At 46.4% G+C, this 13552-nt stretch overlaps 1 protein-coding gene across 4 annotated transcripts in view; it reads left to right on the top strand.

Annotated features, from left to right (window-relative positions):
* The window catches only part of NUP93 (nucleoporin 93), a 120158-nt gene extending 107275 nt beyond the window's left edge, over positions 1-12883 (top strand). For 3 of the 4 annotated variants that reach the window (NM_014669.5, XM_005256263.4, NM_001242795.2), the window contains 5 exons: positions 205-323; positions 1549-1666; positions 2118-2201; positions 4302-4430; positions 7096-12883. In NM_014669.5, the coding sequence (NP_055484.3) occupies positions 205-323; positions 1549-1666; positions 2118-2201; positions 4302-4430; positions 7096-7206 (561 nt within the window). In that variant the 3' untranslated portion in view covers positions 7207-12883. The remainder of the gene's footprint in view (positions 1-204; positions 324-1548; positions 1667-2117; positions 2202-4301; positions 4431-7095) is intronic. The other variant, NM_001242796.2, reaches the window with a different exon arrangement.

Genomic DNA, 13552 nt, shown 5'->3' on the forward strand with positions numbered 1-13552 from the left:
AATATAAAAATTAGTCAGGCATAGTGGTGCATGCCTGTAATCCCAGCTGCTCAGGAGGCTGAGGCACGAGAATTGCTTGAACTTGGGAGGCGGTAAAAAATGTCACCCCAGAAAGTTCTCTTTGGTGGGTAGGGGGCATTATATAGTTGTTCCTTTTATTGATTACTTTATTGATTGCTTCCTTAATTTTAAAAACTTGAGCAGAATGCTGACAAGGTACTGGAGCTGATGAACAAACTGCTGAGCCCTGTCGTCCCCCAGATCAGTGCCCCGCAATCCAACAAGGAGAGGCTGAAGAACATGGCACTCTCCATTGCCGAACGGTAAGCCAGGAGCTGGCTCCATGGGACCCTGAGGGTGCCACTGCCAGTGCCAGGCCACCTATGCCCACCCAAATGCATGTTCAGCTTTACTAGGTAACAGCAGACAGCTTTCCAAAGTGGTTCTACTAACTCACCATGCCACCAGCACTGTGTGAGTTCCTTTGTCCCCGCATCAGAACTAGTACTTGGTACTATCAAACTTAACATTTTTGCCAAAGAAATGGGTATGAAAGGGCATCTCAGTATTTTAATCATGCACATAAAGCTTAATTTTAAGCATTATGCTCGCCTAAATACTGTTGTATACTTTCATCAGCCCTCTCAAAGGCATTCAAGACCAAAGCTAGTGATGGTTGGATGGGGGAGATTCTTAGAGGTGTCGTGGCCAGTGTTTCAGACTACCTGGATCCCCAGTGAGTTAACTGAATTATCAGACTTCTAACTAGTTTAAGTCCCAGGCTGAAGCTAACAACATTACTTTTTGCGCTCTCTGTAGATATTCCTAGTAAAATGACCCAGAGAAAACTGGGTTTGGGGTGCCTTCCCGGGGTAACAAAAAAGAACATTCTTTGGTAAATGAGATATCTCCACCTAGCAAACAATCCCCAGTGAGGGCTGCTCGGCTTTTTGCCCATCACGACCTCCCACCTTTCATGAAGATTGGATGCTGAGATGATGATCAAGGCTGGAGAACCATGCTTCATGTGGTGGAGTACCTGTAGGTGGATTCATACCAAATCCACTATCAGTGCTTGGCTGTTTCAAAATAAACACCATTTTACACTCTTTAATTAACTTCACCCAGAGAGCTCAGAAGGTTTTGATGCTTTTTATACATTTTTTTTGTATGTTAAGACAGGGTCTCCCTGTATCACCCAGGCTGGAGTGGAGTGCAGTAGTGCAGTCATAGCTCACTGTAACCTTGAACTCCTGGGCTCAAGCAATCCTCCCACCTCAGCCTCCTGAGTAACTAGGACTACAGGCATGTACCACCACACTCAGTTAATATTTTAATATTTTGTGGAGATGGGGTCTCGCTGTGTGTCCAGGCTGGTCACTGACTCCTGGCCTCAAGCAATCCTTCCGCCCCAGCCTCCCATGTAGCTGAGATTACAGGCATGAGCGACCACACCCCACTGTTTTTTTAAATGCTATTCCACTGTTACGGATTACACAGAAATTCCTGATACACTCTTACTACCCCCACCCCGTTTTTGTCTTTCAGGTATAGGGCTCAAGGAATAAGCGCAAATAAATTTGTGGACTCCACGTTCTATCTTCTTTTGGACTTGATCACCTTTTTTGACGAGTATCATAGTGGTCATATTGATAGAGCTTTTGATGTAAGTTTCAGGAAAGGTGTTTGAAGTGCAGGTTAATGTACACCCTCGAAAATTCAAAACACTTCATGGAATTTACTTAAAACAAAGGAGCTGTTGCCAGTATGTTTGTTGTATAAAGAAAGACAAGTACAATCCTGGGACTTAAAAGGAGTTTCCTGTGTGGCTTTTTTTTTTTTTTTTTTTTTTTTTTTGCCTATTCCTTTCCCCTTTAATCTGAAAACAGAGAAGTTTCTCAAAGTAATTTGCAATCTCAGAATTTTAAAAATTGTGTCAGGAAATGATGATAAGAATTAAGTTAGCTAGTTAGAATCAAAGCCTTTGTGTGTACAAGGAGGAATGGCGTTTTCTATGAAGAAGCCCTTTGGAGTATGTGAGGTGCTGACTTTACATGTAGAGAGATGAAATGACTGTGATGGTTGTGTTACATGGGGCCGGTGGTTGTTTTAAACAGATCATTGAGCGCTTGAAGCTGGTGCCCCTGAATCAGGAAAGTGTGGAAGAGAGAGTGGCTGCCTTCAGAAATTTCAGTGATGAAGTAAGTTCCTTCTTCCTGAGTTGTGGAATTCCTTTTTCCCCACTTCCACCAAAAGCTTTTTCTTTTCCTGTACCTAACAGCTTTAAGAATTCTAGTTACAGTAACTATCCAGACTGAGTTTTCCAGAGTGGTTCCCTTTCAGATACCTTGGCCTGGCTTTTCTGTGAGTGCATACATCCCCATCAGATTATTGTCTGAATTCCTAATTGAGAAAATACAGTCACTTCAGTGATTGACATGTTCTTGGGAGAAACAGGTTTCTGGTTGATCTGTGAAGTCTGGTTTAATTCTTCTATTATCCGCTTGTGCTAGAGGGTATTTTAGTGCTTAACTCTGATCATCTTTAAGTAGTTCCATTGGGTACGTGAAACACATCATGATTCACTGCCACCTTTGCCCTCCCTTATCTGTTTTGGGATTTTTTTGTTTTTGAAACGGAGGAGTCTCACTCTGTCACCCAGGCTGGAGTGCAGTGGTGTGATCTTGGCTCACTGCAAGCTCTACCTCCCGGGTTCACACCATTCTCCTGCCTCAGCCTCACGAGTAGCTGGGACTACAGGTGCCCGCCAACACGCCCAGCTAATTTTTTGTATATTTAGTAGAGATGGGGTTTCACCGTGTTAGCCAGGATGGTCTCGATCTTCTGACCTCGTGATCTGCCCGCCTCGGCCTCCCAAAATGCTGGGATTACAGGCGTGAGCCACCGTGCCCAGCCAATCCATTTTGTCTAAAGACGCAAGTGCAGTGACCGCGGAGTAAGCTATCACCCCATAAGCCCCAGAGCCACTGTCTGTTGGGTTTCTAGCATATTGCCAGCATCTAGCCTAGGGTGCTCAGCTGGGCTGCATACTGGCATCTCTAGAAAAGTTTCTAAAAACCCTCATGCCTACACCCCAGAGATTCTGTTTTCCCTGATTGCTGCAGCCCAGACCTCCCCCAGTCATTCCAGTGTGTGGCCCAGGTAAATTCTTCTCTAGAACTATAAACACTCAACTCAGCTGTCGACACTATAGACTCTAGAACCAGCTGCCTGGCTCTGGGATGTCACTAGTGGTCTTTCAGTTTACAATTCTTCCTCATTGAGCAGATGCCTTTTATAAAATGTCTCCAGCCAGGTGCGGTGGCTCACACCTATAATCCCAACATTTTGGGAGGCTGAGGCGGACTGATCACCTGAGGTCAGGAGTTCGAGACCAGCCTGGCCAACATGGTAAAATCCCATCTCTACTAAAAAATACAAAAATTAGCCGGGCGTGGTGACGCATACCTGTAGTCCCAGCTATTCCAGAGGCTGAGGCACGAGAATCGCTTGAACCCGGGAAGCAAAGGTTGCAGTGAGCCGAGATTGCGCCACTTCACTCCAGCCTGGGCGATAGAGGGAGACTTTGTCTCAAAAAAAAAAAAAAAAAGTTTCTATTTTAGAGAAAGAAGTAAGGCCAGTTCTGCACATGAAGAGGGATGTTGACTGCTGTGGTACACACAGTTCAGAAGGTCTTGCCCCTTGCTGACCTTCCCTTTATACCTGCTGTGGCTTCTACCCTTAGCCACTTGCTCCTTTGTTATTTCTGGCCTTTCCTTGAATGCATCCTTCATTGCATCAGGGATTAAAGTGGTACACGAGGGCCTGGCCTTATAGACACTCCCAAGGACTCTGGTAGGGTCATGCAGATCTAGTGGAAACAGCCCGGTGAGTTTGAGAGAGTGAGGAGTGGTAGGGACTGTGGAGAAGTAGCGTGTGCACCTGTACCTCCTGACATTCAAGTTCAAATTATTTAATGGCAGCCACTCTGCTGGCCAGTCTAAGCCTAATGCTAACCAGATGTCAGCATGCTTTTGGCTCACTGCCCCTGACTAAGGGAAAAACAGCATAAAGGAGCAGGAACAGTAACCACCTGACCTGAGCAGCATTGCTTGGGTTTTTTTCTCACACTTGATGTTTCAGTGCCATCAGCTCCTTTTGGGTGACTGTGTGGCTCTCCACCTGGCAATGGTGAGGAGTGGTGCAACCAGGCCTGCCTGGAGCAGCCCACCCTCCCTCCATCTGTGGTTGGCCCCAAAGGCTTGGTTCTTTTTCTTTACTCTGTTTTTCTCTCTATGTAGATCAGGCACAACCTCTCAGAAGTGCTTCTTGCCACCATGAACATCTTGTTCACACAGTTTAAGAGGCTCAAGGGGACAAGTCCATCCTCGTCATCCAGGCCCCAGCGAGTCATCGAGGACCGCGACTCTGTAAGATCCCAGCATTCGCGAGAAACATTGCTAAGCACCACCTTTCTGGTTTGGAATCCGTTGCGCTCTTATGAGACCACATGACCCAAAACTGCTCTTTCTCCTCAGTACCTGGCAGCTGGATAAATCTCGTGTTAGGAGGCTCCCAGAGGAAATCAAATATTAAAGGGATTGCTGCTCTTCTCAAGCTTAAAAAAATAAAAAGATGTACTAGGTCTGCAAATCTTACCTTTTAACAAATCAAACAGAATGCTAATTTCTAGTTGACTCCATAAGAACTTCCTGCACATTTTAAAAGATAAGTTTATTTTGTTAGTCCTAGCTCATTAGTGAACACTTTTATTAAAACCATACTTTATTTTTGATCAACACATTAATGTGAACCCTTGTTTCTCCTGTCACCTGTGTTCACAGTGACCCTAGAGAGGTAACTAGGACAGCATCTTATCCCCTCTCACAGCTGAGGAAACTGAGCTGTGGAGTTGGGAAGCAACTGCCCTCAGGTGGCAGGTAGGTGAAGGGGCCATGTCTGGAGGCTGGGTCTCTCTGACACCTGTGCCCTTTCTGCTGCCTGTGGGACCTCCAGCAGTGCATGGGTCAAGTGGAGTCCAGGTAGCTAGAACCCTGGGGCTCACAGCATATGTTGTCTGATTACAAAAAAAAAGAGCAAAGGTATTTTTTGACCCAGTTAAACCATAAGGGGACAGTCCAATGGTGTTTGCTTTTTTTTTTTTTTTGAGGCAGGGCCTGGCTCTGTTGCCCAGGCTGGAATGCAATGACACGATCTCAGCTCACTGCAACCTCTACCTCTTGGGCTCAAGCCACCCTCCCACCTCACCCTCCCAAGTAGCTGGGACTACAGGTACGCACCACCACACCCAGCGGAGTTTTGTACTTTATATAGAGATGGAATTTTACCATGTTGCCCAGACTGGTCTCGAACTCCTGAGCTCAAGAGATCCCCCAACCTCGGCCTCCCAAAGTGCTAGGATTACAGATGTGAGCCACCGTTCCCGGCCCCACAATAGTGTTTTTTAAAATTACCTTTCCTTTAACCTTTCCACTTAATTTTTGATGAGACTCTCAGCATCTCAGTGTCTAACATCAGACCTGGTTTTGGCAGCCAAGAAGCCTTGATCTGTCTTCTGCCTCCAAGATGTCTGTGAGCTCTTTCCACTGTGACCCCACAGGCATGGTTGTTGACAAAACTTGTGCTTAGTGAAAGATGGCGGAAATTTCCACCTTTAGGAATGTGGGTAACAGTGCTCAAGAGTGGTCCACTGAAGCGGTCAGCCCATCCAGGTGTGCACCAGAGCATTTGCTGGTCTTCTGCCTACCCCGGACAGATAGGAGTCTAAATGTCAGATGTGCCAGCGGTGGGTTCATGGTGCCCACCATTTGGCAGGAATCTTTTTTGATGATAGAAACCCAGGGCAGTGATGTTTGTGAATGTGAGTATTGAGATGGTGGATACTTCTTGGTGCTCTGTGTGCTGCTTACAGTTCAGTGGGGCTTGCCCACTGAGAAGAGCTGGTCCCCTGGCAGGCCATGTCTCATGTCTGAAGATCATTCTCCTGCCTTCCTTTTGCCCACCACTCTCCTTTTTCTTTCTTTTTCTGAAAGGTAGGGAGGGATAGGATTAAGTAAAAGGTTATCTATAAAAGCTGCGTGCCCAAGAAGTCTGCAAGCCCACTGACGTCCTTGGTTTCATGGTTTAAAGTGAGATGCTGCCTAGTAAAGGGGTGAATCCTTTTACTTGAACATCCCTAGAGCTCATTTAACGAGAGCCCTTTTATTCACTTCTAAAGAAAATACAGTGGATATTCACATCACAAAGTCAGATTTCTTTTTGTTTGGACATCAATAAGGACATACACTCGCTAGTTTGTTTTACACATCAGGTAAAAAGCATTTGCTTTTCCGTTTTCTTCTGGAATGGTCCTTAAGTAAGCCTAGTAGATGACTCCTCAGTGTTTCTTTAAATTCTTGTTACTAGTCCAGAAAGGTGTTGGTGGTAGATTTCTCCCTTTCTAGTCCAGATTTGGTTTAAATTTGTAGGGCCACCTTTTTCCATCCTGAACAATCCAGGAATTCCATAAATACTGTTGCCTGGGGAAAGAAGGGCTAAGCATGTATGTCGGGAAGGGAGAAACAGGAGGAATGAAAGGAAGGAAGAGGAAAGATGCATGGGAGGAAGAGAGCTGGATTGGGACTGCACAGTCACAGCCCTTGCCTCCGGTGTCACAAGGGCTTCATGGGGCTCTGGAGAGTCAGATCCCTGTGAAAGCAGATGGACAGAAACCAGCCAGAGAGAGAGGCTCAGAAGATTGGAGCAGGCAGTTCTGAAGCTCAGGGCTGTGTCAAAAGCTAGCCAAATGTGTTGGGGCGAGGCGGCTTGCCTGGCAAACCCATCTGCTTTTTGCTTAATAGATGGGTTTGGATGCCTGTGGAACAGAGGCCTCGGGGGACGAGCTTTGTTAACTTTGTGTTATGTTGAAGGAATGTGACAGAGGAGGGTATGACTGTCATCCACCCATCAGGGATCTGTCCCTGACACGCTGGGGTAGAGGATGGAAGAACATGGAATAGAGGATGGAAGAATATGGAATAGTGCCCTGACTCGAAAGTTAACCGATTTCCTTCCCTTCCTTCCCTTCTCTCTCAGCAACTCCGAAGTCAAGCCCGCACTCTGATTACCTTTGCTGGAATGATACCATACCGAACGTCTGGGGACACCAATGCGAGGCTGGTGCAGATGGAGGTCCTCATGAATTAAGTGCCATGCTTTGTGGGAGTCTGGGTCGGCACACTGTCAGTACATCAGGCACATGGGCCCACTAGGCTGGGGTTTCTGGTTTTGTTTCTGTTGTGTTTTGTTTTGGTTTCTGTATTATGTATTTTTGTCAACGCCAATAAATTTCTTTGATTTGTATTTCTTTTCAACATTCTTTTATTTTCTTTTTTTTTTTCTTTGAAATTTTGTTTACATTTTTATTTGTGTAATGGGAAATACCGTCACTAGCTCTTGGGCCAGGGAATGAGAGGCTATGTAGATATTCATTATTTGGTTAAATTGACCTTAATTAATTAAAAATCTACCCAAAATGAGCCAGGAAACAAAGCCTTTGGGAGTTACTTTTATTTAGATATAATATTCCATATAGCAGAGTCACGATTCATTTTCACATTTTTATTTGAATGTGAAAGTCAACCTCAGCCTTAGAAGATGTAAGATTTGTGTGTGAAATATCAAGCACTCCATGTCCTCCTCTAGAGAGTGTGACTTAAGTCCAGATGGTCCAAGACCATCCCCCAAATCATCAGCTCTGATTGCAGGATTCATCAGTTTGCCGTTCTGTTGCAATCCCAGTGGAGATAAAAGCATAGACCTAGAAAAAGCCTTAAGAAGGAAGGTTGCAAGTGCCCCCAGCTTGCACTTGAGGAAGGGGTAAACCTTGCCACTGCACTCCTCTGTAGCTGCTCCACTGTGAGTTGACTGCTCGGCCTTGTACACACCCCTCCTAGAAAGACGTTTAAGCCCCTATTTCCCTTCTCTGGTGGTCAGTTCCTCTGCTCAGACGACCCCCTTCCCCACTCATTAAGGTAATTGGCCAGGCAGGCTCATGGGTCACGTGCTGAGTCTGCAATGTACAGAATCCAGACCACCACATGGCATCAGCACCATGGGTGTTTGCTCCCTGAGCAGTAGTTGTCACCCATCATTTGCTCTGTTTCCCCCACCATCAGTCCCAAAGCCCTAGACTAAACCAGAGAGCAAATTAGGTCGTGTTTGTTCCTGAATGGGCCAACTGGAGCCTTGAGACAGTGGGCAGTGGTCTGCTCTGCTGGTTTGATGGACGGCTCCCTGAGGTAGACTCTTTCCCAGCAGAATGTTAAGATCCCCAAAGGGTCCCCAAAGGTGCCTTTGCTTGTAGGGAGAAGTTTCTGTCTTGTCACAGGGTGTGGTCATCCCCACTGTCTCCCAGTTGTTAAAATAATTGTTACCTTTTCTTTTGGGAAGAAATAATCTGTAGATAATGGAACCAACTGCTGCTTATCGGTAGGATTCCATGTTCCAGGAAGGATGCGGCCTGAGGGTCAGTGGAGCTGTGTTCTGCCTTCCTCCTCTAGTCCCATCTTGTCACCCTGGAGGACTGTCTTCAATTGAGCTTTACTAGAAAGTCTTGAAACATGAGCCCTGCAGAGGCCTTGATTTAGCAAGTTGTGCCCTGCTTATATGTGCTGATTTAAGCTAATCAAATGATTTAATAGTGCTTTTTAAAAAAGAGTACTCCTGGCCGGGTGGGGTGGCTCACACCTGTAATCCTAGCACTTTGGGAGGCCAAGGCAGGTGATCACCTGAGATCAGGAGTTCAAGACCAGCCTGGCCAACATTGTGACACCCCGTCTATACTAAAAATACAAAAATTAGCCGGGCATGGTGGCAGGCACCTGTAATCCCAGCTACACAGGAAGCTGAGACAGAATTGCTTGAACCCGGGAGGCGAAGGTTGCAGTGATCTGAGATCATGCCACTGCACTCCAGCCTGGGTGAAAGAGCGATACTCCGTCTCAAAAAAATAAAGAGTACTCTGGCCGAGTGCAGTGGCTCACGCCTGTAACCCCAGCACTTTGGGAGGCCAAGGCAGGCAGTTCGCTTGAGGTAAGGGGTTTGAGACCAGTCTGGCCAACATGGGGAAACCCCGTTTCTACTAAAAATACAAAAATCAGCTGGGCATGGTGGCAGGCGCCTGTAATCCCAGCTACTCGGGAGGCTGAGGCAGGAGAATCACTTGAACCCAAGAGGCGGAGGTTGCAGTGAGCCGAGCTTATGCCACTGCACTCCAGCCTAGGCGATGGAGTGAGGCTCTGATTCAAAAATAAAAATAAGAGTACTCTGTGGACTTTTCATAAAGTGCAACTTAGTGCTTTGTTTTTCTAATACTAGATTTTACTTGCAGATAGAAATATAACAATGCCACAAATGAGAAGGCTCAAGTTGTTTAAATACATGTTTGCTCCTGGCTTACCTCTTCTTCACTATCCCATGAGAATCGTGGATTTGCCTTTCCTTGCATCCTGCAGTTCTACTTGTCTCAGAGAGAACTGCACACCAGCCCTGCATCCAGGGGATGAGGTTCTTTGACCTGTAGATGGGTCCTAAAATGAGAAGGGAGAGAAGCAGCCAGACCTTGAGCTGCTCTGCTAGGGGAGCTGTGAGTTGGGAGAAAAGTGGTCACTGGTTGGCAGTTAAGGACTTGCTGAGAGAGACATTTGTAGGAGAAAGAAGATAAGTAGGTTCATACCAGAAGGGCCAGGACTCGGATGGAGCAAATCCCAGTTCTTGTCCTACAAGCTGATTGTGCGATTGAGCACAGGCCTCTGGAATTGTGCAGAGATGAGAAACAGGCTGAATTTGCAAGGCCACAACATCAGGTTGTCATGTACCCATCATTACAGCTTATGCCCAGAAGTCCTGACCCTGTGACAGGTTATTATCTTAAAAACTCATCTTCAGCCCACTTTTTCAGAGAACTAACTCTTTCCTTAGATGTTGGGCCAGGATTTCACTATTTACCCAGAGAAACTAAGAGAAAGTGGCACTAGGCGTCTTGTCTTCCAGATGTGAGATTTCGATCTTTCTAATGAAATTGGGGGCACTTTGAGACTGTCAGGGTTTGTTCCTGTCTCAGAATGGCTCATAATAAACTCACTGAAACACTCAAAGGAAAGTACTGACTTGATCTGGATCCTTTTCAGAGGCCTGGAGATTTAATTTCACAGATTCTCTTCTTTTGGCTCAACAACAACAGCAACAAAAAACTCTTTGACTCCCCAACTTCAGAGGGAAAACTGAAGCGAAACTGGTGAGCTCTGCCACGGCAGATGCCTTCCTTTTTCACTCACGAGCTGGGCGGGCTCATCAAAGAGCAGGAAGTGCCCATTTTACACTGGGGCCAGGATGCAGACCCAGCTCCTGTCCTCCGCGAACTTACAGTCTAATTAGAGCCTCTTAAGGACAATTTGGCAGCCACTGTTAACTCTTGATGCATCATTTAAATCCTAGAACAGGCAGCTTTAAAGCAAAGAACTACAGACTTTTCCGCAGTGTCCAGCATTTGCTGACCAAAAAAAACCTGAGGGTGATTTTTCTCTCTTTGAATTTTTACCCTTGCCTGCACCTAGCCAGAACCCTTAATACTAAATTTGCAGTTATATGCAGCTCTGCCAACGCCTTCCTGCTTTAGACTGGATCTCTACTATCCTTTTTCTCTACTAGGCACCAGAACCTTTGTCTAGTTCATTAGGTGGTTCACATCACTTGCCAAATTTCCAGCATGCCACTCAGGAAGTGACTTGAGCATGCTGAATGCTGAGTCAGAAAATGAACCCCTGGGCTGGCGGGTTGACCCAGGCCTGACAAAGTCTTGGCAGTCCCCACACTGACTGCGAACTCTCCCTTAGCCTCAGTCAGCTGGGAAAGGAATTGAGCCCTGTGTCAGCAAATTGGGAGAAAGTGTTACATATAAAATTCTTGATGGAAATGTGTGTTTTATATCAGAATTGAGCTTTTGTTCCTGCATCTCAGAAATACCAGGAAGAAGTCAGCATCTCATTAAACAGGAGTTGTCTAAACTGTGGAAGAAAATATCCCCCATTCTTTATCCTACGCTGAATCCACAAGTCTTCCCATCTTCCACCATCTTCTGACAGTTCCATAATATATTGGTATCCCTCACAGGGCAGGGACAGGAAGGAAATAAATCTTTCTGCCACTTGTTTCCAACCGAAAAGGAAAAAAGTTAAAAATTACTAAAGTGTTCTGAAAAGAGATTTCAAGTGGTCTGTGCTGCTTTTTTGCCTTGTTACGCACATAACTTGTGACTGGCTAGATAGGCCACGTGTATTTATCAGCCAAGATTCCATTGCAGCAGATGATTTCAAAACCTCTTTGTGTGCTGGGCCGTGCTAGGTAGCTGGAATATCTGAGGTAAATTAAGCACTGATTTGTTCCCAGAGTTGTGCATAATTCTTTAAAAGTAGGCTCGTTTTTTTCGTTTTTTTGTCCAGGATCACCTAAGTGAAGTACTCGTGGTTCTAAGTTGCTAACCCAGGGAAAGAGGATATTTTCCTGTCCTAACCTTGGTTTTTGAAATATGCTTCTCCTGTGTGCCCTCTCTGGGGTATCTGGCCCACAGTAGATTGCTCAGCAGATATTTGAATGAGCAGATGCTTTGCTTTGTCCTCCTGTGCCAGGCTCCTCCCCACATCCTCTGGATCAGCTCCACGTGCCTAGATTCAGACTCCGTGATTCACCGTGGGGGCCCTTAATAGGCATTCAGTCTGAAAGAAGGTGGAGGAGAATAATGTCTCCCAGGATCAAATGAGACTCAGGGCTGTTCCTTCAAAGACAGAAACTTGCAGAGCTGCACAGCAGCAGGGAAACATTGAGAAGGGGGTGGAAATTTGATGTACTGTGAATAATGAAGGCCGGATCTTTAAAAAGAAAAAGGGACGGGGTGCTGGCAGAAACCCAGCTCTGCGCTAGCACAATCTGTACACCTGGCTGCCTTTGCCCTTGAGCTTCTATTTCTTGGGGATGGGGAGGGCAAAAAAGTTTGCCCCAGACACTGGCTTCTGTTTGAACAGGAAGTGGGGAGTCAGTGATCCCAGAGGGGACTTCAGCATCAGGACATATGCTTTGGTGGCCTCAGCAGACCTGGCCTAGGCAGGCTTTCAGGTGGCACCCAGGGGCTTTATGGCCTGCAGGTAAGGCCCCTTCATCCGGGTCAGACTTAGCAAATAAAAATATAGGACACTCAATTAAGTTTGCATTTTGGATAAACAGTGAAGAAGTTCCTAGTGTAAGTATGTCCCAGTTCTATGTGGCTGCCCTACCTGGGCTTGCCTCTGCTGGTACTAGCTGCCCAGAGACCTTCAGGCCTGCCACGGGCTGCCGGGAGCTCTCTAGTGGAATTGGATTACCCTGATTTTGTGCATTGTTTGTGCTTTTGTGGGCATCGGAAATGACTGAGATACGCAGTTTTGAAGAGCTAGGCAGGCAGCTGAGCGGGATAATGTGGGCCCCAGTTGACCTCAGTGGCTGTCATCTACTGTGTTTTTCAACCAGGAATTTCAAATACTGTGTATTTTAGAAAGAAAGGAAAGAGCCAAAGTACAGCCTTTTCTCACTTGATCAGTAACTTGTGTTAGAAACTCAGTGGGGGAGAATTCTTTGCGTTTTTCAGTTGACTGATTATTTTCCTTTTTTTCTTTTTTGCTTTTCTCGAGTCACTCTGTGTGGTGCTTGTGGGAGAAGGGAGAGGGTGGGAGAGCGTTGGTGGATGTGTTCTGCATGTTCCTTTCTGTACAGTAACTTCTGCATTTACTCTGTTTAGGATGGTTCCTTCACCACTATCCCTGTCTGTAGCCAGTAAATTTCTGGAATATTCTCCCAGAGTGCCATGTGCCCCCTTTGTTCAGTCCTTCAGTGGAGCAGAAGCCTCTCTCAGGCCTTTCCTGGGAATATCTTTAGCTGAGGCACAGCCTGGGGGCTCCTCAGAAGGTGACAGAAGTGCCTCTACCTGGCCTCGGGGCTTAATGAGCCAGGCCCCTTCTCCACTCCCTGCAAAGAAGGCTCCTAAGGCCTATCCAGTCCCTGGGTCTGCGAAGTCCCCAGAGGTCTCTGTAAGTACAGGACTCCCATCCCAGCTCTGAATTTGTGCTTTCTCCCCCTGAACTTCAGAATTCTTGGCCGGAAAGGTCAGATTCTGACTGTGGTGGGACAGTAAGTCAGAAGCATTCTGGTGATAAACCCAGCATGTGGCATGCATTCTGGGGGCTAGGAACAGCTAAGATCTGTAACCCTTTATTTTAGACCTTCAGTGGAAAGCATTTTAAATGGGGGTTGAGAGCCACGTATTGGCCTTGGGGAAGGGGAGCCGGAATTTGGGGGCCATGTTTTGGTGGGGTGGCAGAAGAGGCTTGGGCCTGACCTTGGGACAGATGTCTCCTGCTCTCTTAGACAGTAGCTGCCTGTGCTTTTGACCAGGGCAGGTGTTTTAGGATCTGGGTCACGGGATTCTACTCAAGGATGTGCAGATGGCTAAGGAGGTAGGGTG

Source organism: Homo sapiens, chromosome 16 (genome assembly GCF_000001405.40).
Source record: "Homo sapiens chromosome 16, GRCh38.p14 Primary Assembly".
NCBI lineage: Eukaryota > Metazoa > Chordata > Mammalia > Primates > Hominidae > Homo > Homo sapiens.